General features: G+C 39.8%; 1 protein-coding gene across 6 annotated transcripts in view, besides 2 other annotated features; it reads right to left on the bottom strand.

Moving 5' to 3' along the window:
• Positions 1 to 14,575, bottom strand: part of MAP3K20 (mitogen-activated protein kinase kinase kinase 20) — a 192,499-nt gene extending 177,924 nt beyond the window's left edge. For 2 of the 6 annotated variants that reach the window (XM_047444746.1, XM_017004324.2), the window contains exon 1: positions 14,422 to 14,575. The gene's annotated coding sequence lies outside the window, so the exon portion shown is untranslated. Of the gene's footprint in view, positions 1 to 13,635; positions 14,022 to 14,089; positions 14,247 to 14,421 lie in introns of those variants that run through there. The other 4 variants (NM_016653.3, NM_133646.3, XM_047444747.1 and 1 more) reach the window with 2 other exon arrangements.
• Positions 13,682 to 14,421: a silencer, noted in NCBI's record as "silent region_12113". NCBI's record gives its function as "represses an Ori minimal core promoter by ATAC-STARR-seq in GM12878 lymphoblastoid cells {active_cell/tissue: GM12878}" and the evidence as "EXISTENCE:reporter gene assay evidence [ECO:0000049][PMID:35858748]".
• Positions 14,502 to 14,551: a silencer, noted in NCBI's record as "silent region_12112". NCBI's record gives its function as "represses an Ori minimal core promoter by ATAC-STARR-seq in GM12878 lymphoblastoid cells {active_cell/tissue: GM12878}" and the evidence as "EXISTENCE:reporter gene assay evidence [ECO:0000049][PMID:35858748]".

Below are 24,759 nucleotides of genomic sequence, written 5' to 3'. Positions count from 1 at the left end.
GTGTACTATTTTATCCCATGTGTACTATTTTATGTGGTTTATACTATTCTTGCAAAAAGTATAAACCAAAACCTTAAGAGGGACAAATCTATATTTCTAGGACATTCTACAAAACATCTGGCCTAGGCTCCTTGTAATTATGAATGTCATGAAAGTTTTTTTTTGTTTGTTTTTTGCAGAAAAACTTCTAGCATAAGGAAAACTTAAACACAATGACTAGGCTGGATGTGGTGGCTCACGCCTGTAATCCCAGTACTTTGGGAGGCCGAGGCAGGTGGATCTCTTGAGGTCAGGAGTTCGAGACCAGCCTGGCCAACATGACAAAACCCTAAGCATACAAAAATTAGCCAGGTGTGGTGGCAGACACCTGTAATTCCAGCTCTTGGGAGGCTGAGACATGAGAATTCCCTGAACCCAGGAGGTGGAGGTTGCAGTGAGCTGAGATAGTGCCACTGCACTCCAGCCTGGGCAACAGAGCGAGACTCCATCTCAAAAAAAAAAAGGGAAACACGATGACTACATATAATTTATGATCACTGGATTCTGGATAAAAAAATCTATAGAAAATATTATTGGGATATTAGAGAAATCTAAATATTAACTATAAATTAGATGATATTATTTTATCCATGGCAAATAATGGTATTTTTGCTTTATAGATGGATGTCCTTGGATGTATTGCTTGGGAAATGCATGTAGCCATTTTAAAGTATGATGTCTATAATTTACTTTAAAATGGTTCAGTCCTCATCCCTGTCCCCCGACACACACATCCAAAAAAGTACATAGGAATAGAGAGAGGGAGAGAGAAAGCAAGTGTGCCAAAACGTTAAGAACTGGCACATCTAGGTGACAGGTATCTGGACATTTTACTACTCTTTCCATTCTTCTGTGAGTTTTTTTTTTTTAAATAAAAAGGTAGAAGGGGTTGGTTTGTATCCATATAAACTGGCAACATTTCTCCATAAAAAGCCTGGGGCTCTGCTGAGTGAAGTGCACAGGCAGCTCAAAGATCTTAGCATGCAGCTGGCTAGCCATCCCATTTCAGGAAAATCAGGTCACTGAAGAATGCTGATTTCTCACATGAAGTCAAACGCTGCTCTACTTTGGGGAGAAGGCGAGAAAGAGGAAGGGTTATTTGTTCATCCTCTAAAGTTTAGAAGATACACTCCACATAAAAATATGAGTGAGGGAAAGATCATAGTATCCAAATATAGTCTATAAACATATGTGAATCAACAGTTTATGTTACCAACTTTTTTGTAATTCCTATTTAGTTAAACATGGAAAAGAACAAAATTTGTATAAAATTCAGGAATGTTGCCAAGGGTAGGTATATAGAGTATGCAAGCTAAAAAGTTTGTTCAACCAAATGTCAAACACCATTTGCAAGGTTCCCTCAGCATTACAGACACTAGGTTTACATTTTTGTTAATTATTTTTATAAAAGCATTAAAATGAAATTGAACTACAAAGCTTATCATAAAAAATAGAAGTTTCCTGTCTCCCCATTCCCCATACCCAATTCCCACTCTCTAGACGCAACTAATTTCAACTCCTTTAGCATTTTCTTCTGGCACTGAACTCTGTATTTCTAAAGAATGTGCTTATATTACTATTTCTTGATTTTCCATTTTAGATATTATCTATTAACTTCTGTGGAAGACAAGAATTTAGTTCTCATATATCACCCTCTACCTCCATGCATGCAAGCATGGCATACTTGCCCAAACCTCCCAGCTTCCAACCGTACTGTAACATTTGGTTAAGTCAATAGTCAGTGTTTACAGTAATCCAACAAAGTAAACATTATTCCCAGCAGTGCCATGTAGGATTCAATAATTACATTTCCTTTCTTGGATAACGTTTGGATTCTCTTAGAGTTATCAGTTGCCCTGTTTTTGCTTTTTTGTTGTTGTTTGCTTAGCTTTTTACACTCCTAACACATTCCCCCCATTAATCTCTCCCACGAGCTGCAAAACTCCTCTCAATAAAATTAAAACAAGTAATTTCTCTTTTTTTTCACTCTTTGGTTCTATTGTTTTTAGAGACACTCCTTCTAGGCCCTTCATCCTGATTCAGTCTGGCTGGAATGGTTGCTCTCTAGGCCTGACTTGGACTGGGACTCCTGTTGGCTACCATCCTAAGAATTTCCTTCACCTTTTTCCTCTGTGAGAACCTTGTCTTTGGATTTCGCATCTTCCCTTTCTTGGTTTACTCCCTTGTTTTGATGACACACATATCTCCCATTAGTTACCTGAATAGAACACACAGAATAGAATTTTTTGAGAATCTGTATATCTTAAAATGTCTTGATTGGTAGCCTGGTTGGGCATACAATTCTAGGTAGGAAATGATTTTCCATATAATTTTGAAAGTATTACTTCATTTTCTCCTAGTTTCTAATGTGGCTACTGAGCAGTCTGATGTTACTGATTATTAACCATTTTTATATTATTTTTTCCTCTCTGAAAGCTTTTAGGATCCTCTATTGATCCCAGGAATCCTGAATTTTAATAGGATATGTTTAGGAATGAGTCTTTTTCATTCATTGGTAGGACACTCAGTGAACTCTTTCTATCTGTAACTCATGTATTCTAATTCCAAGAAAGTTTCTTGTGTTATTCATTTACCACTTATAGCCACTTTGACTTCATGTCATCTCATTTCCCATACACACACGAGGAACTGCCTGCACTTCCCAATATACACTGACCTCTCACATCTCCACATTTCTACACAGGCTAGTGTCTCTGCTTCAAATACTTTTCTCTGCACAGCAAACTCCTATCCCTGACCACCTCTTTGAGTCTCCTGAGCACAGCTGAATTCTCCCTCTCATGTGCCACAGCACCTTTCTTTACCCATTTATCTTTCCCACTTAATTCCCACCAGACTATAAATTCCCTAAAGTCAAAACTCAGTTCTGTTTACATCTGGATCCTCAGCACCTACTACACAGCCAAGTACACAGTTAGGCAGCTTTTCCATTAAAAAAGCATTTGTTGAATAAGTGAGTAAATAGCTTCTGGTTATTCTTCCATTATACCTTTTGTAGCTGGAAAGGTTTCAACCAAGTCATGTAAAACTTAAGGTGTGTAATTTTTACAAGTGCCCCGGAGGGTTCTGAAGCAAATCCTGATTTGGAAACTGCTGCCTAGGCTTCTTCGGAGAGTGTATTTGGGACTTTCAGTACTGGGTCCCTCTGAATCCCAGGGTCAGGGAAGAAGGAGGAGTAGAGAAATCCTTTCCAAAACAAAGGCAGAGGTCTGAAGCAGGATGAGATCAGTATGAATTCATGTAAGCCTTATGCTGCAGAACAAGCCCAGGGAATGTGGATGAACTGAGACAGGATCAGTCACAACTGACACTGACCTAAGGGTGCCAGAAAAAGGCTGACCTTTGAGAAGCACACTTCTCCAGGATTTCACCACTTGACAGGAGGCAACTAGCCAGGTTCTTCACAGAATCACTGCTATTTTGTGATACACCATGCCATTTTGGGAACTGGCTAGTTGTGAATGGAACTATCCAATTACTTGAATGTTTTATTGAAACCATAAAAAATTAAGTTCCATCTGAATACCGAATAAACTAGTAATCTAGGGTATGTGAGTACAGGTTTAACTCCAGTGAGCTTGGCAAAGCATCATGGATGTAGCTGAAAAACTTGGTTGAGATTTCCACTCCCATATACATGAAAGTTAAACCATATATATATTTTTTCCCCTTGAGTTTTCTCTCCTTTAAGAATCATTTTTCTAAGGGGATCAATTTATGACGAGAAGAATGAAAAATCTGAGTGCTAGTTATTTATATTTAAAGCGTGTTGGGGAAGACTGCTACTTGATTAAATTATGTTCTAATTTTTCAAATGTATTCTCCACTTAATGAATATACCAGAATTTAATAAAAAGTCATCTATATAAATTTATTTACATGGTATATCAAATCAAATCCAACGTTTTCATCTCACTGCATTAAAAGAATTGTTTTGGCCAGGCACGGTGGCTCACGCCTATAGTCCCAGCACTTTGGGAAGCCGAGATGGGTGGATCACTTGAGGTCAGGAGTTCGAGACCAGCCTGGTCAACATGGCAAAACCCCATCTCTACTAAAAATGCAAAAATTAGCCAGGCATGGTGGCGTGCATCTGTAATCACAGCTACCTGGGAGGTTGAGGCAGGAGAATTGCTCGAACCGTAGAGGCAGAGGTTACTGTGAGCCAAGATCGCACCACTGCACTCCAGCCTGGACAACAGAGCAAGGCTCTATCTCAAAAAAAAAAAAAAAAAAAAAAAAAAAAATTGCTTTTACACAAAAAAGGCAATTTTGCTCCACGCAACAATGCTCAGTTTTAGTTTTGTAGGATTCTAACTGTTGTTTTATAAACTCTCAAAGCTGTTTTAAATGTTAAGTATCTACCATACAATACTGAAGGGTAAGTTAGAGCAGAAATGTCACAAAAATCAAAGTAAAATAAGGCATCACAACTCTGTAAATGTTGAAAATCAATAATTTGGTGGTTGAATCCAATCATTTCACTACTTGAGTAGAATGTCAAAAAATTTTTAATTTAAAGTTTTCCTTAAATTAAAATTCAAAAACATTTAACTATTAACCAAATTGCTGAAAGCATATATAGCAGCATCACCTAATTATGAAAAGTGGAAACATAAGAAGGTAGGAAATCTTAAAGAATTATTTTACTTTTTAAAGTTTTCAATCTTCTAGTCCAAAAAAATAGACTTAAGTTTCTCTATTCACAGACCTTCTATTTTGCTTCTTGATTTTTCAGATCCATGTTGACCTCAAATAAGTCATTTACCTTTTCACTGTTACTTTTGCCCCAAATTAAAAACAAAAATGACCCCACTACAGTTCTAATGTTAAAAAGCAAGGTTTTAGAATTAGATTGATAGGAGTTTGAACTCTCCCTCCACCTCTCGGTAACTTTAACAAATCACTTTTTCTCAGACTGTGGCATTTCCAGATGCATAAATAAAAAATTTCAAATCTTTTCCATTCAATGTCACAAAACTGATAGCCCCAAAGTTATCAAGTTTGCATAGTATTTGACTTCATTGATACATCTCACTTCCAAATAAGAGATATTTCAACAGGGAAGTAGCATGATTCAGGGTAAAGACCCCTACTAGAGAGATCTATGAGCAGATCTGTTATTAGCTACTTGGGCAAGGCACTGTGTCTCTCTGACCTCACTGTTCTCACTGGCAATAATACCAGTGCTGTGAAAGTGCATACGTGAGCACAGTGCCTAGTATATGGTATACATGCAATTAATGGAAATTATGGTTTTCTCATTATTTTAATAACCCTTGATATCATATTTAGCCATCTATTCCTTCAGTTTTTATGGTCAGGTATGCTCTCAATAGCTTTCCTCTCCCCATTTTCAGAATTGTTTTATATTATATCTCTTAGTTTTGTAGAGCAATTATTAACAAATAAAGGTGCTATTGATCCCTGAATCCTTTCCCTCTCTTTGCCTATTTTCTAATTCTTTCTCATTCCTCTGTTTAACTGCCGTTTTTGGTTTTTGTCATTTCTGAAAGATCTTATTAGTAAGTAATTATAATTTCTTTTAAGCTTTTTTCATAATGTATTTAAATTGCTAAAACACAATACTTTTCTTTTTTTTTTTTTGCACTTTTTGGACATTAGCATTGCTAAGATCTATTTATTCAATGATAGCACTCACTTTGGTAGGGTGCTGGAGCATCCCCTCCTTCCCCAGTGACCACGGTCTTCTTTCAGACATTATCTGCTGCACAGTCAATTGCACGTCTAACCCAAGAAAACTTAACCTGATTATCCAATACCTGCAAGTGATGATTTTTTAAAAAAAATTAAATCTACTTTGGCCGGGCACAGTGGCTCACACCTGCAATCCCAGCATTTTGGGAAGCAGAGGTTGGAGGATCACTTGAGCTCAGCTGGGGCAACATAGGGAGATCTCATTTCTAAAAGTAAAAATAAAAACCTACTTTATGAAAGGATTAACTTTACTAGAAAAAAGGTCTTTGAACTTTCTCTGGATGTTTCTATCTTGTGGTTTTATATGGGCCTATATTTCTGAATTTAGAGCCTTCCTCTTTTCCTGTCCCTAATTCATACTTTCCTTTCCCCCTTCTTCAAAAAGTAAGGTTGCCAGTTTACTTTTTATACAATATAGGAAGAAAAACTTACACGTTTTATCATGACCTGGATGTGACAAAAAAGATACTTTTTGAAAAGAGCTTTCAATATTCAGCAAATTATTTTGCCAAACTTGCTGCCTTGATATTTATGCTAGTATTATTTCAGCCTCTTTAACATAGATCAGTGAATAAATTAATAATATGTGCTTTGTCATCATGTGTATAAAAAGAACACCACTTGGAATCACTGTTCTGCAATTTTTTTCCCCTGAGTCTTATCTTCAAAAAAATGAGGAAAGCTCTGGTTCAGTGTATTTGTCCGTAACACCAAGGTCAAAGATTCAAAGATTCTATTCCTCAACAGGACTGCTGTTCTACTATTTTTTTTTAATCACTAAAAAAGATAAAAGCTGGCTGGGTACAGTGGCTCACACCTGTAATCCCAGCACTCTGCAAGGCTGAGGCAGGAGGATCGCTTGAGCCCAGGAGGTCGAGGCTGCAGTGAGCTATGATTACGCCACTGCACTCCAGCCTGGGTGACAGTGAGACTCTGTCTCAAAAAAAAAAAATAAAAAATAAAAAAATAAAAGTTGCAAGACTAGGTATAGGAACAGAACCAACTTGTACTGTATCTACCAGATATTTCCTTTCTTCCTCCAAGGCTGCTCCTAGAAAAATAGTGTATCTTATACAGAGTAGGTTGGGTTCAGTAAATAGGACTTCAGGCATAGATATCTGAGAGAACCCAACTTTAAATAAGAATCCAAAAAACAGAATAGCCATTGTTTCATATTTTCCCCCTTCCTCTATCTTTACCATATAAAAGTAATGTAACTCTCTAGTTAGAGCAATGGTAAGAATAAAAATAAGCTAAACATTCTTATTGAAATATTAAAGTAATTTAGTAGTGAGGCATTCTTATTGAAATAATTAAAGTAATTTAATAAAAGTCAACTTCCACAACACACTTCCTTACCAAAAGTATTGTTACCAGAAGTAAAAGATGGGAGGCACAGGAATGTAGTTGGTGGGAGCACTTAACGCCACAGAAATGCTGCGTGGAAACATGTCTGTGCTCAAACAGAAGCCCAACAAGGAAACATGAAGTGGATACAACCTACGGCCACGGCATAGGCCGCTGCGTGGGCTTGTTGTGTTGAGTAGCTGGGAGCTTCTTGCAGCATGAGGAAGAGAATGGGGCCAGAGTTGAATAAAGTGAGGGTGCACGGAGAGGGGAGATTTCTAGGGCTTGGCCAGAAGAGGAATTCACAGGTGTCAGGACTGGGGATGAGGAGAAAGCCGTAGCCTATGAGTAAACAAGGCTCACTTCAGTTCGCTACCTCCCACCTATCCTGCCCCCACCCTAGGTCTTGCTGCTACTCAGCCCTTGTTTGTACCCCAAATCGTTTTCTGTCAAATAGAAAGTATCAGACCATCCTGGCTGCTGACAGACAGGTACAACTTTGGACTGAGTGCCTGGAATGAATACTCCCTGAGAAGGGTGAATGCAAGAGTTAAAACATGGTAACCTCAATGTAAGATGAAGGGTGAAAGGAATGGGGATGGTAAAACTAGGGAAGACTAAGACCTTATATTATGTTTTGATGATCAAGAGGCAAGGCTATCTGTGGATGAAAGTTACAGAAAGAATTTCTGGTTCTTTGGGAGGCCAAAGTGGGAGTATCGCTTGAGGTCAGGCATTTAAGACCAACTTGGGCAGCATAGTGAGATCCCATCTGTACAAAAAATGAATAAATAAAAATTAGCCAGGTGTGGTGGTTCATGCCTGTAGTCCCTGCTACTCAAGAGACTGAGGTGGGAGGATAGCTTGGGCCCAAGAGTTCAAGGTTGCCATAAGCTATGATTATGCCACTGCACAAAGTGAGACCCTGTCTCCAAAAAAAAAACAAAGGATTCCTGGTTTAGAGTTGGCCAACAAGAAAATCTGCCACCCTCTTTAGTAGTGAGTGACCCATCACCAAGAGCGTTCAATGGGATATGCGGTGTAGAGTGGGAGTGGGAGACTCTTGCATCAGCTAAGAGGGCAGAATGAAACCACTTTAAGACCCACTCCAACCCTGTTGAGTTGATGACTAATCTACTATAAAGTATAGACGGTCTCCCTCCTTTTCTGAGGGAAGCAGTCATGAACCCGACACCAAACATCATGGAGAAGCACAGTGAACCACATCAGTGATGGAAATAAAGGAAACGATTTGGCCATCTTCTTCAATTTCTCCTCCCAAACTGGGTGAGAAGCTAAGAGCCACATTCCAGGTTTCTATCCTAAAACTTTCCTCTTCCTTCCCCCCAATTCCCAAAGCAAAGAGATCTCTTTGTCTTGAAAGCCATCGTATAACCACCTAACATCAAAACTCTTTGGATGATGATCTACCCCTATTCTTTTATCAGCAAAATGGAATTGCACTACCCCATGCAGTATTGGGCTGCAGAGCTTAATGGTGCAGGACTCTTTATTAGGACCAATCCCATGTTCCTCGTGTGCTTATTCCCATACGTGGTATTACACAGTACTGTGCAGAAGGTGATATGAATAAACAGCTGTCCTACAGCATCAATTTCACTTTAACACTATGGGGAATAAGCCAGGCAAGGTAGCACATACCCTCAGCCCCAGCTACAGGGAAAGTTCAGGTGGGAGGATTGCTAGAGCACAGGAGTTCAAGGCCAGCCTGGACAACATAGCAAGACTCTGTTTCTAAAAAAAAAAAAAAAAAAAATTTGTCTTTTTTAAAATATGTGTCTGTATCGATTTGTTCAATTTAAGTAAAACAGTGTAGGACAGAAGAGAATGCAAAATCCACATAAATTTTTAAGATTAAATATAAAATTTTAAAGCAAGTACTTGCTTGCATTGGGGTATCTGTGGCTATACGGACAAATTCTTGAAGGAAAACATTCATTTATCCCCACAATAGAGTACTTTGGTAGAAAAGTTTAATAAGTAAAGATTTATTACATGACGTGCAGACAGCAATTCTTTCCTTTTCTTTTTGGTTTTCTTAAATGGAAGCCTGGAGATGAGTCCAGAAAGAAGGGTATTGGGGCCTTGCTCAAAATTAGCTATAAAAATGGTTCCAAGTGGTTCTAAAGCACACTTTAGAAACACTTATACTCAAAGCAGGAGAGTAGTTATGAAAACCTACATACCCACTACATAAGTATAACTTGGGAACAGGACAGGGTACCAAAGGCAAGCCTTAGCTGGAAGAGCTGAGTGCTATGGTAGGAATGCTCCCACCAAAATTCATGTTGAAACTTAATTACTTAATCGCTAATGTAACAGTACTGGGAAGCAGAACCTTTAAGAGGTGATTAGGTCATAAATGGATTCTCACTGTTATCCTGGGAGTAGGTTAATTATCTCAGGAGTTCACTTTTTCTCTTTGTCTTTCATGGCTTGCTTTCGCCTTCCACCCTTCCACAATGGGTGATTCTCGCCAGATGCCAGAGCCATGTACCTGGACTTCCCAGGCTCCAGAACCATGAGCCAAATAAATTACCCTTGTTCCTTGTAAATTACCCAGGCTGTGACAGACTGCTCTAGCAGCAGAAAACAGACTAGGACAGTGGGCAAGCAGCTCTGCGTATAACTTGAGAGATGTAGTAAAACATCCTTCTTTACCACATTGATACAGTGGCTGAAATTTCAGGCACTGTTACAAGCATTTCTATGTGCTTTCTCATAAAGTCATGCACCACATAACTATGCTTTAGTCAACAATGGACTGCATATATAACAGCGATCCCATAAGATTGTAATAAAGCTGAAAAATTCCTATTGCTGAGTGATGGCACAGTTTCCTAACATCATAGCACAATGCATTACTCATGTGTTTGTGGTGATGCTGGTGTAAACAAACTTATTATGCTGCCAGCTGTATAAAGGTACGGCACATACAATTATGTACAGTGCACAATGCTTGATAAGGATAATGACTGTGTTACTCATTTATGTATTTACTATACTTTTTATCCTCATTTTAGAGCATACTCTTTCCACTTAAAAAAAAAAAAAAGAAAATTAACTGAGGCAGGTCCTTCAGGAGGTGTCCAGAAGAAGGCATTGTTATCACTGGAGATGGGGAGATGGCAGCTCCATATACATTACTGCCCCTGAAGACCTTCCAGTGAGCCAAGATGTGGAGGTAGAAAACAGTGATATTGACGATCCTAACCCCATGTGGGGCTAGGCTGATGTGTGTGTTTCTGTCTTAGTTTTTAACAAAGTTTAAGAAGCAAAACAAATTTTTTTTTAAATTTAAAAATAGAAAAAAAATCTTACAGAATAAGGATATAAAGAATTTTTGTATAGCTGTACAATGTGTTTGTGTTTTAAGCTAAGTGTTATTTCAAAAGACTCAAAAAGTTAAAAAAAAGTTTAAAGTTTATAAAACAAGAAAGTTACAGCAAGCTAAGGTTAATTTATTATTGAAGAAAAATGTTTAAATAAATCTAGTAGAGCCTAAGTGTACAGTGTTTATAAAGTCTACAGTAGTGTACAGTGATGTCCTGGGCCTTCACATTCCCTCACCACTCACTCACTGACTTGCCCCAAACAACTTCCAGTCCTGCAACCTCCATTCATGGTAAATGCCCTATACGGGTGTACCATTTTTTATCTTTGATACTGTATATTTTATACTGTATTTTTACTGTGCCTTTTCTATTTTTCGATAGAAATACTTATTACTGTGTTACAACTGCCTATTCAGTATAGCAGCATGCTACATAGGTCTGTAGCCTAGGAGCAACGGACTATCTCACACAGCCTAGGTGTGTAGTAGGCTATAGCATCTAGGTTTGTGTAGGTGCACGCTGTGGTATTTACACAACTACAACATCACGTAACAACACAGTTCTCTCAGAACGTATCCCCATCATTAATGGACACATGACTGTACTTATCCTTAGGAAGCAGGTACTACTGTTCCTAACTTACATGAGTGAGAAAACTGAGGATCAGGGGTATGAAAGTAGCTCAAGCCAACTACCTTACAGGTGACACAACTTGTGTCAAATTCAGGCCTGACTCCAAAGTCATATCATTGTTTTCTACCATATCATGTCTTTTTGTTAATAACATTCTGCCTCCTCCTTCTAATTTGCCTTTTGTTTACCCTATTTAAACTATTTTCTTATTACAGTAATTACTGGATTGCTCACCATCCACCTAAAGTTCAATTTGAGGCTTTAATTTCCTATTACAATTGAAGACACTGGGGTTAGGGTGTCAAATGTGGGGCTGCTTTGTTCTCACAGATTCTTCTACTGTGCTGGGATTACTTAACAGCTATTAGGACGATGCTTCAGCATCCGTAGGAGGGTCTGACATAAAAGCACCCATGTATCAGTCGAATCAATCTAAGCTCTAGCATTCATAGTCCTCTTCCCTTACCAGGTACAATTTTCTGGTCACAGCTGGAACTCTGCTTATTTGTGTCTAGTGGGGCAAAGTTAATAGCTACCAAAAAACTAGCCTAAATCTTCCTTGCAGTAAGACCAAAAGGTGCCTTAACTGTTCCTACTACATTTAGATAGACAAGATACTCACCCTGTCAATCTGTCCTGGGTAGAATAAAATGGAAAACAAGTGATCTAAATTCATTTTTATTTCCAACATCTCAGGATACAGACATAGGGCTATCTTATTCCAAGAAGTATTATATCCCCACAAACATCTTTTTCCAGTTTAAACAAAAACAAAAACAAAACAAAAACAAAAAAACCACTGATTCTCTCCTCTCTTCTGAATCTACCACTTTCTAAAATAAACTGTCCATTTTGCTCTGTCACTCCACACTAATAGCTTCACCTTACATCTGACTTATTTTCATGAAAAGTTTTCAGTGTTTTCTCTGATGATTCGATTATTCACTCCACGCCCCCACAAACCTATTTATAATTTTGTAGCCCTATCAAAGTCAGTTTCACTGCTCATTCCAGATAGGCTCTGAGCCAATATATTGCCAATAACACTCACTCTTGTGCTAAGTTAAAATACACAGTGCAACTTGCCAAGTTTCCTTATTTGGCAAGAAGGCCCCTTAGTTCCCAAGATCTTTGACCATCCATTTTTAGATCCAAGTCCGAGTGTTTAATATTTGGATTTTTTTTTCTCTCTTTACTGTGTCCTTATATATTCCCTAAAAGATTAAGAAAAACGGATCAATCATCTATTTGCTTTTTTAGACAACGGAGAAAGTCCTTGCAATTGCATCATGGTCATTTACTCTGGAATTATTATCACTAAATTTTTTTATTTAAACAATATTTTGTAGTTAAAAAACTCCCCAAATAATCTCAAAAAGTTATAGTAGGAATTAAATTGTGATAGATTAAAATAAACAGTGCAGTGGTCCAAAAGACCATTTTTCTTTATCTTAATTCTGTTTTCCCAAACTAAATTCGTATTCATTTACAATCTCCTAAATCTCTCACTATAGTAGCAGGAATTTAAAACAAAGACTCTACAAATGACCATAACCATAATTAAAATGCAGCCATCACTTTTTTTTTTTTTTTTTTTTGGAAAATTGAAAAACAAGTGAAATTTCACTGTGGAGATAGGCCTACTACAAAGAGGACATTAACTAGCCTTGAATCACTTGTTTATTTTTGTCTTTAAACGTGTTTGGAGGTTTGGATCCACTAAATCCTAGCTGTTCATTTCAACGAAGGTCGAGGAAGCAAGAAGGCTCTTCCAAAACAGCTTCGGGGTTAAAGAAGGAGTACAGTTTTCAACAATCTTAAGTCAAACATCCTCAAATTCACTCTGTAAGACGATTCTCACACACCAGTATCGAGAGCTGCTTACTGTACCATACTTGGAATGGGCCCCTAAATTGTGTTGCTTTCATTATTACAGAAACTAACAAAAATAGTAATTAAGTTCCCCATAAACAGTACTTATGCGCGATCTCAAAGCGCATCAGAAACATAACATTTTCAGCGATCTAACAGAGATAACTTTTTAAAAAAATTTTTTAGGCAATCGGATGTCATCTAGCCAGTCCTGAATTAAAGTTTTCTGAAAGCTGTCATGGGCAAGCGAGGCCAGACGAGGCGACGGCCTGGGTAAGCACTTCTGGGCCTGGTGCAGGTCTGGGAGCCCACAAAAAGCCGCTGCCTGAGGGTCGCCAAAGGAGACATCCCCGGCTCCGGTGGGAGGAAAGGGGGAAGCCCGAGAGGGCGGGCGCTTCATGCTGCCCAAGCCCGGGGCAGGAAGGGCGGGGAGCGGTGGCTCTGGATACATTTACGCATGTTTTTAAAACTAATCTTTAGTGTTCATTGTTCCTGCTGGTTATTCGCATGGCCTAATTGTGTGAGGAAAACAGAATGAAGGAAAATGGATGGGAAGCAACACCGCTCGCGGTCGAGTTCTTAGAAAAGCAGAAGTTCGTCGTCCCTCCTCGCACGCACAGCGAGTGCTGGGAAGTGGCCTGCACCCTACCCTGATTTGGGGGCCTCGCGGTTCGCCTCCCGACAGTGCCCCAGTCACCCGCTGCTTGGCCGGCTCTGCTGCTCGCGGAGCCCCTGCCCGTGCCGCACGCCCGGGACCGCGAAAGCCGGGGCCGCTCCGGCCTGCGCCCGCGCCTCCAGGCGCCAACTTCTCCATGGGACCGGCCCGAACTCTCCCGAACCGCACTTGGCGGCGCCGCGGCCAAGGTCCCGCGAGGACTTCCCGGGCGCCGCGAACGCTCGCTCGCTCGCCCGCCCGCTCGCTCCGGCCGCCGCCGCCGGGCGGGCCCTGGGTCGGGGAGGGGAGCCCCGAGGAGCCTCCCGAGGCCGCCTAGACTCCCGGGCTCCGGCGGAGCCTCGGCCCCGAGACGCAGGGACGACTCGCGAGCGCGGCGGGCCTCGCCCCCTCCCTCCCCGCCCTCCGCGGGCTCCAGCCTGACCCCTACCTGGCTCCCGGGCGGGGCGTGAGCAGCAGCCGGGGGCGCGGAGGCCCCGCGCGCGACGAGGGCGGCGGGGGTTGGGACGACAGCGGCCCGCGCGGCTCCCACGTTTCCGCTGCAGTTAGGAGTTGAACATTCCGCCTCTCTGCACGGCGCCAATGAGGAAGACAGTCACGGCAACAGCACCACCTACCTCCCGGCGCGAAACGGCTGGGCCGCCCTCCCCTCACACGCGCGGGCGAGCGGGGCGTGGGGAAGGCGCTCGGGCCTCCCTGGCCTGCGCCCGGGGGGCACCATCCGCCCCGCGCCCCGGCACCCGCCGAGGCCCCCAGACACACCTGCCTTGCTGTGGGGGGAGGGCCGTGGGGGTGTTCCCCCTCGCCCCCAGCACCTTAACTCATCTTTTTGACAAATTAACACCACCTGCTACTCCTTCAACTCAGTCTTCAACAAACAGGCGCTGGGGACGCAAAGAAATAGAGGCTGTTTTGTGCCCCGCAAGAGTTAATTCTCTAGTTGGGAAAGGCACAAACGTAGAGATTTCTGGGAACATAGGTCTGAAGGCTGCCTCTCTAGAAAGATCAGTAGGTACCTCTGGAATTTTGAGGAGGGGCCGTGGTCTGCTGCTCTAGTTGCTAATTTTAACAGAGCAGAATTCAGAAGAGGAGCCAGAGTCCGTTACAGGCCTAAGCCAAAGGTGGAGGTGGGCGTTGGGAAGAAAAGAAATTTCTGATTGGGGAGGATGGTTCTGTGAAGGAAAAGTGAGAGGAGGTTGCAAGGGCATGGGCAACATTATTCAGGATTTTGAATTTGAATTTTATTATCCATGGACACTGGGAGCTGTGAAAAATTAGAATCAAAGGGGTGAAATGGGGGTTTGTGATTCTGTTTAAATGGTAATTTTGAGAGAGTAGTCCACAGTAGTTGTAGGTTGGGTTGCTAGGATGGAACCAGGATGAGTAGTAGATATTGTCACCACCCGGTTGTGGGATCATGAGGACCTGAGTTAGGATGTAGGAAATGGAATTAAAAAGAAGAAATGGGCTGGGCATGGTACCTGTAATCCCAGCACTTTGGGAGGCCAAGCTGAGAGGATTGCTTGAGACCTGGCTGGGTAACACAGTGAGACCTCATCTCCAAAAAAATCAGAAAATTAGCCTGATGTGGTGGCATACATCTATAGTCCCAGCTACTCGGGAGGCTGAGGTGGGAGAATCGCTTGAGCTGGGGAAGTCGAGGCTAAAGTGAACCACAGTCGCGCCACTGCACTCCAGCCTGGATGAAAGTGAGACTCTGTCTCAAAAAAAAAAAAAAAAAAAAAAAAAAAAAAAAAAGAAGAAATGGAATTGAGAGAAATATTAAACGTTTCAGCAAGAGGCCACAGAAATTGGTAACCCACAAGATTTAGAAGAGAAGAAGAAGAGAGATGATGCCAAGATCTCAGACCTGGATGACTGGAAGAATGATGGTGTCATTGACAAAAATAGGAATACGTGAAAGGGAAGCTGGCTTCATGTTGAGTTTGAGGTCATAGGAGTAAAAACAGGTAGAGATGCAGCAACTGAAATATGAAACTGAAATTCAGGAAAGAGGTCAAGAGTGAAATAGAAAATTTGTAAGTCATTCAATAGGTTAAAGATATGAAAGTTGAGGGATGAATGAGTAGAGGTTAAAAAACAATTTATTAGTCTGATTAATTTGCCCTTTGATAAGGACTGGAGATTTTAGCATTAATAAATTTTATTTTGGTAACTGAGAAATTAGAATTGATGAAAATTGCCATGCTAAAAAAATGTATAATGCAGGTCTAATAAAATAATTCAAATAATTCCATCCTATCCATTCAAGGAAAAACTAAGGCTCTTTAGCATAGACCCCAGGCATAGGAAGACTCCAGTCATTTTACCTTACCTTCAGAGGCACTTGTTTGTTTTGGAAAGGACCCTAGACTGAGAGTCAGAGAACCTGACTTCTGGTCTTAGAGCTACCAGTTATCAGCTAGAGTGCTTTGCAGGATAGGCCACAGTTTCCTCCTCTGTAAAATAAGAGGGACTAATTAGAAGTTAGTTGCAGGTTCCAGCTTTAAAACCATGAATGTATTGCTTTAAATTTGGAACACATGGCTTAAGAGCATCAATATTTTTAGCCACATTGCCCTTGCTTCCCATCCCTTTGCCTTCATTCTGTTTTCCTCACATAATTAGGCCAAGAGAATAACCAGCAGGAACAATGAACACTAAAGATTAGTTTCAGAAACATGCTTAAATGATAATCTAGTAGACATTTTCTTGTCTTCCCAAATAGGTTGCAAGCCCTTTGAGGTCACATCTTATATTGTGTGGTATCTGCATATGTATTGTCCATAGCTGAAATAAATATATAATGATTGTATGATAAACTGATTGCCTCAAGTTTGGTTTTTCTTTTGTCAAGCTGCCTGTTTCCTATTGATTATACTGATCTTTTTAGGCCCCAGACCTAATAAATATGGTCTAGTATGTATTCTCAACACCGACTGCTTTTTTGAACTTTCAAATCTTTTTTGAATTGGTTAATGCTCACCAGGCAGAGTTTAGGTTTACCCGTGTGAAAAGCAATAACAAAAGAGACCTAGTCAAACTTCTCTTATCAAACCTGCCTATTCCTTTACTTCAAATGTTTCCACACTAAAAATAGATGTACTCTTAGCAGTGAGGTGGCTTGGAAGTCCTTAGCACCCTCTTATATCCAAGAACATTCTCCAAAATAAACATGCAATCTAAGTTGAAAAATATAAATATAGCTTAAGGAAAAACTTTCCTATCCCCCTATTCAATGGGACTGTTTCTTCTAAGCCCCTCTTCAAATAGATATTCTGAAACTGCCACTAGCTATCAGTGGATGAGAAAAGTGCAGACATAAATTCTACGAATGGCAGAAGGAATGGCAACTTAAAAGGAAGAAAGCAGTCTTTATCCTCCCCTCCTCTTATAGTGGTAAGAGTTATGGCACAAGCTGGCACCCAGGGGCATTTTCTCTAGCCGTCTTAGTTTTCCATCTTAACTTGTGAATAGTCTATGCCTGGATCATAGCTAAGAATTACCCAACTTTTATGCAAAGACCAAGGCTTTACCTCCTGTACAACTCTGAATCCCTGGGAAATTAAGGTATATAATCAAACATCCTTTAAGTCATTTAACCATTGCCTTAAAATCATAAATGAAGCCCAGATCATTGTTTGAGTTTAGTGTTTACATCTAACTTGAGGATCAAAGAGATTTACAGGAATATGCAGGATATCGAGCTTATTTAGGCACCCTGGGACATGAAAGGAGCGGTGTGGCAAGAAGACATATTGAAGACTTTTACAAAATGTATTCAACAGGCATTTACTGACTGCCAGGCACTGTGCAGAGCTTTATGATTATAGCAGTGAACAAGCATGGTCCCCTCTCTCACAGAGTTTTCGGAGTGCAATGGAAGAGCCAGCAAAGACACGAGCAATTACACTATGGTATGCTCTTAAAGGGGCAAAGATTGGGGCTTACAGCAGGGTACCTAGCATAGTTTTGAGAGGTCAATGAAGGCTTCTAAATCAAAGAAGCTCGAAGTTAATACAAGAAGAAATGAAGAGGATTTGCTGGACAAAAAGGAGGGAAAGATATTCCAGGCAAAGGAAACAAGTGCAATGGCCTGAGAGCATTTAGCAAGTTCAAAGAATAAGTTCTTCATGTATCTGAGTAAAGACATCACCAGCAGGGAGTAATAGCCCTCATAGTAGTGGTAACAGTAATAGCAGAAGCAATAATAATAATAGATGGTTAATATTTACTGAACAGTCATACGCCATGCACTGAATTAAGAGTTTTACACAGACGTCTTCCCATTTAGTCTTCACAATAACCCTAGCAGGTAGTTTTAAGTCATCATCCCATGCTATGGGGCCAGAAAAAGTCTTGGAAAAGTTGGGCAACTTGCCTTCCCTCAGGGAGCAAAAGGTAGACTTTAGGCTTGTTTTTTCAAATCAAGCAGTTCTCAAACTTTTTGGTCTCAGGACTCCGTTACACTCTAAAAAAGTCATTGAGGATGCCAAATAGCTTTTAAGTGAGTCATATCTATCAAATTTATTATATTAGAAATTAAAGCTGGGCACGGCGGCTCACGGCTGTAATCTCAGCACTTTGGGAGGCTGAGGCAGGTTGATCACAAGGTCAGGAGTTCGAGACCAGCCTGGCCAACATGGTGAAACCCCGTCTCTACTAAAAATACAAAAATTAGCTGGGCCTGGTGGCAGGTGCCTGTAATCCCAGCTACTCGGGAGGCTGAAGCAGGAGAATTGCTTGAAGCAGGACTTGGGAGGCAGAGGTTGCAATGAACTGAGATGGTGCCACTGCACGCCAGCCTGGGCTACAGGGCAAGACTCCGTCTCAAAAAAAAAAAAAATTAGAAATTAATCCATTTAAAAATAATAAGCCAATAAGCCTATCTATGTTAACATAAATAACATTTTAGTGAAAAATAACCATTGCCCCAGATTTTTAAAAACTGAAAGAATACCATTGTTTTACATTTTTGCAAATCTCTTTAACGTTTAGCTTAGTAGACAAAAGTTGGATTCTAATATCTGCTTCTGAATTTAATCTATTCCAATATCATACTACATATATCCTCTGGGAAATTCCACTGTACACTCATGAGAGAGTGTCAATATTTTTATGAAGAGTTCTGACCTTGCAAACCCCCCAAAGGGTCCCCAGGCTGCATTTTGAGAACTGATATTTTAGAGTCTGAAGGGAGTTGGTTGCCTTGTTCTCTGCTTCAAGACGCAGCGTAACAGGGCAGCTGCATCAAGCAGGGAAGAGAGCACTTTGCTAAATGGCAGAAAATCTGGGATGTGGTGCCAGCCCTGTCCTTAAACAACTGTCCCCTCCTCGGGACCATACTACCTGATGGTCATGTGGGATGATAAAGTCCTACATATCTGAGTCTTGAGTCCTAGTCACTGCTCATTCTTTACTATTGTTTGCCATGCTACTTTTCTTTAAAATGCTATATCTAAACTTTGACTGAATCATAACTGAGTTTGTCACATCCATTCAGCATTGAGCCTTCTATTCTTTTTTTTTGAGACAGAGTCTCACTCTGTCACCCAGGCTGAAGTGCAGTGGCATGATCTTGGCTCACTGCAACCTCCGCCTCCTGGGTTCAAGCGATTCTCCTGCCTCAGCCTCCTGAGTAGTGGGGATCACAAGTGCAAGCCACCACGCCTGGCTAATTTTTGTAATTTTAGTAGAGACGAGGTTTCACCATGTTAGTCAGGCTGGTCTCAAACTCCTTACCTCATGATCCACCCGCCTCAGCCTCTCAAAGTGCTGGGATTACAGGCGTGAGCCATTGCACCTGGCCGAGTCTTGCTATTCTTTCTACTCACTCTTAACTCTACTTTATTGCAAGAAACTCATATACCTCTTCCCAAAGATGTAACAATTGATGTAATTTTCTGACAGAATCCTGGAGTTACTTATTATGAAGTGGTATTATTAAGTGAAGGGCTGGTAACGACTTTGAATATGAACACTGGGATTCACTGAATCCCAGCATGGGTTCACTGAAATCAAGATATGTCTAGTTTTTGCTACTGGTATCAGAGGAGGTCAGTGTGGATCTGATTTCAGTGAAACATTTGACAAAGTTTCTCAGGATGGCTTTAGAAATCAGAAGGAAATTTTAACTGATGACAACACAATACAGTGAATTTCTATTAGAATGAAAACTGAGCCACAAGTGCTAATGAATGGATCAGTGCTCTGGTGGAGAAGGGTTTCTAATGGTATGTTGCTGGACTGTCTTCTTTATTCTGCCCTGTTGAACATTTCAACAACTTGGATGAAGACCCAGGAAGCTTGCATATCTAATTAAGGACTAACATGAATTTAGAAGGAATAGCTAATAAATTAGGTAGAAGAATCCTATCAAAACCCAAAAACCTTTGCTTAAAACCTCTATTGATGCCTTACTGCCTAACATGTTAGTCCAAGCTCTTTAGGGTGCATTCAGAATCCTCCATTAGTAACCCAAAGTTAAAACCCCAAATCCTCCATTATCCAACCCAAACATCTTCCATCATCATGGGCCTCATGACAAATAGAACCATTCATTTTCCAATTTCCATGCTTTCCTTCTAATTACTTTCTTCTAGCACCTCTGCTGTCTTCAAGGCCCAGGTAAAATGTTCCCTTTCTCGAAAGCCTTTTCCAATCCTCTGTTAAGGAGTAATCTTGGGAGGCCAAGGCAGGAGGAGCACTTGAGCTCAGGAGCCTGGGTGGCATACTGAGATCTCGCCTCCACAAAAAAAATTTAAAAATTAGCCAGGCATGGTGGCAGGTACCTGTAGTACCAACTACTTGGGTGGCTGAGGTGGGAGGATCGCTTGAACCCATGTGGTTGAGGCTACAATGAGCCATGATCAAGCCACTGCACTCCAGCCTGAGTGACAGAGCAAGACCCTGTCTCAAAAAAAAGAAGTAATCATTTCCCCCTTGGAATCTTAGAATACTTTTGTTTATCTTTTGGGTTTTGCCCCATATTATGATTATTTACATGCTGTTGTTCCTTTTCTTCATGATCTTTAAAGGGAAGATCCACATATATTATTATTTCTGTGCAAACCCACCACAACTGACATAAACATTGCTTGCAATCACTCAGTAAATATTTATTTAATGAAAAACCGAATAAAAGAAAGTGAATTCCTAATTGAATTATGATTCAAGAAACTACTTTTAACTATGTCAGGGAGTTTATTTGTAGAGAAGTATGGAAACTAACGCCACATGAACACTGATTCTGTGTTAAGCATTTTATCAGAAGTTATGCAAATACATCACTTAATTATTTATTTAATCTATAAAAGAAGAACTGCAGACTCAGAGATGCTAAGTAATTTGCTGAATATCACATAGCTAATATGTGGTAAAGTCAGGATATAGATACGCCTTGATCTATCTGAGTCTATAGCCCATATTGTTTTTATTGTACTGTGTTTCAAGGGAAATATACTTTTAGATGTTTTTGATAAAGAAATGGGCTATAAGAAGCACCTGGTCAGTCTCTACAATTATTTCTCAAAGGGGCCAGCCGTTGCTAAAAATTGGAAAAAAAGTGGCATATTTTATAATATGTATCGTAAGACCTTTGTACACATCAGAGGCAATTGCATGTATTCCATGTCTTAGCACATGCCATCAAGTAATGTTTTTCTGAAAGATTTTAGTTTTTGGTCTAACTTATTAAAACAAAATTTACTAACTAAATAGCATAGAAGCAAAGGGCTGATACCCGTTTAGATAAGATGATACAAGAGGTTTAAGGTTTTAAGTGCATGTTTTCTCACTACTTTATCATAATTAATGGTTCAAGAATAGTCTCAGATCTCTATAAAGAATATCTTCCTATATACAAATCCTCAAACACTACACAAGTGTTCAAGAAGGAGAATACCCAGGTGGAAAAAGTCCGTGCATGGGCCCAGCTCCAATTCTTCCACCATTGTCCCCTCCCAACATCTTCCCCTACACCTTGGAACCTGCCTACACCAGTTCTCATGCTCATTGTCACACCTGGCAACCAAGAATACACTGCTTCCATCCCAAGTGCCGGGGTGGCAGCCTGTATTCAAAAAAACATTACTGAAATCTAAAGAAAAGCATACATAATATAACTACATAAAAATAAAGTTTTATAAACCTAGTCAAGTTTCTAAAATTGAGGCTTCTACTTTAAAAGATCCAATAAGCAGGGATGAACTTTCATCCCCAGGTGGCTATATCACAGGTGAGCTGGTAAACATTACAGATACGTTTCTACTTTCTTACAGTCCTCAGAGCTTCCCCTAGACACATCTTGCTGTTTTCCTGGATAAACCAAATTCTCAGACCCAAACTTCTGGAAATTCTGAGAAACCCAACTATAACCCCATACGTCATTCAGCTATACCACCAATTTCTTTAATTTAGGCATGTGCAATAGGGCAGGAGAACTCTTCTATCTGTTGATTTCTGGAAAAGCAATAATTATATTTCATAAGGTAATTATTAGATCCATTTAATCATCACTCATAAATATTCAAGTGACATAACCATCTTTTATATAAAATTTTCAGATATCTGTAGATTTCTCATGGTCTTTTTCATTATATACCTGATTAGATGATACTAATACATAATCATCTGCCTCCCATAGTAATCCCTTTCTTTTCTATATGCATTTTTAACTGATATGCCTGATCTGTGTTTTCTTCATTTCTCTTGCTACCAAAAGTCTACAACTAAGCAACATACTTCCTCTGGACTGCCTGGAGGAAGAGTGGGAAGTAAGGGAATGACTACTGCTTCCCAGGATCTGGGCTAGGACCTCCCAGATGTGGATTTAACAACTTGTTATAATCAGAAAATCCTGGTCAAATTTCAAAGTCACTTTTCTGGCCACACTTCTTTTGTATTATTCTTTCTCGTGTTGAAATTTCTCTAACTGCTATTTTTATAAATTCAACCTTCTTTCTTTTTTCGTTTCTTTTTTTTGTCACTGTTGGTTCTTCCTTAACTTTTCAAGGTCCAATTGTATTAAGCCCCTGTCTGCGTTGTTGTTTGTAACACCTTCCAATTTAGCAGCATCTGCAAATTTCATTAACATGCTATTTACTCCTTCTTCCAGATCATTAATAAATGCTATTTCTTATGTATTAAATTTTGCGGTCGAATAGATTTAATTTGCTGTTATAATTTCAATGCATGTTTTCTAAAGACACAATGCAGTTAAGAATGGTCTTAACATAGGCTTAAATCCATACCCAGTTTATAGTTATTTTACTGTTATGCAATCCATTTGTGTTCTCTAATCAGCACTGTTGTGAGCTCCATTGAAGCCATAATCTATTGATTTTCTCATCCCTCTCTTTCAATACAGTCATCATCTTGGCTTCAAGTGCACAGCAATAGCAGAGTTGGAACTATTGTTGTAGTACTCTAATCCACAGCTATTTATCAAAGGAAATTAAGACTTTTTTCCTCAGTGGATATTCTTCCACTGATTTAAGAAATGCCGTACATTAAAAAATTTATTTTATAACCATAACATTTTATTTTCCTATGCATAGTATCAATGTTCTAAAAAGAAATAGATTCTAGATCTTTTTTATAAACAAGTAAAGGTAATACATACAATTGATATATGTTTTATATACTTATATAAAATATATTTGATATTTTATATATTTACATATATAAAATAGGGATGTGTGTGCATGCATTATATATATATATATATATATATATATATATATATATATATATATATAATTATTTTTTGAGTCAGGGACTTGCTCTGTTGCCTAGGCTGGAGTGCAGTGGCACAGGCACAAACACCACTCACTATAGCCTTGACCTTCTGGGTTCAAGTGATCCTCCTGCTGCAGCCATCTGAATAGCTAGGACCACAGGCATGCACCACCACACCCAGCTAATTCTTAAATTATTTATAGGGACGGGGTCTTGCCATGTTGCCCCGGCTGGTCTCGAACTCCTGGGTTCAAGCAATGCTCCTGCCTCAGCCTCCCAAAGTGTTGGGATTACAGGCGTGAGCCACTGAGCCTGGCTTGGATATACATATTTAAATACATCTGCTCACTGACTCCCTGACTTCTACAGACTCTGGGGTGACATTGCTTTTACAATAGAATTAGACATGTCACCTTCAAATCAGAGAATGAGGTTTATTAAGCCTTTTTTTGCCTGGGTCACACACCCTCCTCCTTATCAAAACTTCTGTAGTGCCAGTTTACATTCTCAATAGGATGAGCCTTCCCACATGCCACTTGTTGCGATTCTTATGTTCGCATATAACAGTTCCAAATAATTATGTGTGAGATTAGTCTTCACATTTCTATGTAATATTTCCAGGAAATATTTTCTTTTCTTTCAATCTTTCTTCCTTTTTTTCTCTAGTGTTCTCTGGATATGACCCCATGGTGATCTTTTCTTTTCCATCTTGAGAAATGAATTTAACCTCTCAAACTCAGCTTCCCCTGCTGTGAATTGTCCCTTATAGCTTTCCGATCCATCTCAAAGTGTTGTTGTCAAGTTCAAATGAGGTAATTTATGTAAAAGTATTTCATAAGTTTTAAAAGCAAATAAAAGGCATTATTTTTATTGAAACATAGTAAAGGCAAATATATATAGTTTTCACCGAGAAATACAAGCTGGATTTCCAGATGATTTTCCATGTTGAACTTTTGGTAAATGTCCCTTTTTTTGGTAAATGTGAAAAGACATGCTCTCCTTTCATATTTGGCTGTCAATGCAATTGAGTTCTGAATCAAGGAATTGAGTAACAAAATGTCTGTAGTTTAGAATGTTCCTAACTATACAGCATACAATTTTACATCCAACATTGTTAAATAATTCCACAGTAGAGCTTTGAGTTAAGAAAAGATGACACACAATAAAACTAAAATTTGTTTTGCTATGGAAAACTCTTTTTCACTTTTCGTTGTTGTTGTTGTTTGTTTGTTTGTTTGAGACAGGATCTCAGTCGGCCATCCAGGCTGGAGTGCAGTGGCACCATCTCAGCTCACTGCAACCTCTGCCTCCTGGGTTCAAGTGATTCTCGTTCCTTAGCCTCCTGAGTAGCTGGGATTATAG

This window comes from Homo sapiens, chromosome 2 (genome assembly GCF_000001405.40).
Source record: "Homo sapiens chromosome 2, GRCh38.p14 Primary Assembly".
Taxonomy (NCBI): domain Eukaryota; kingdom Metazoa; phylum Chordata; class Mammalia; order Primates; family Hominidae; genus Homo; species Homo sapiens.
This window is presented reverse-complemented; position numbering and strand designations above follow the sequence as displayed.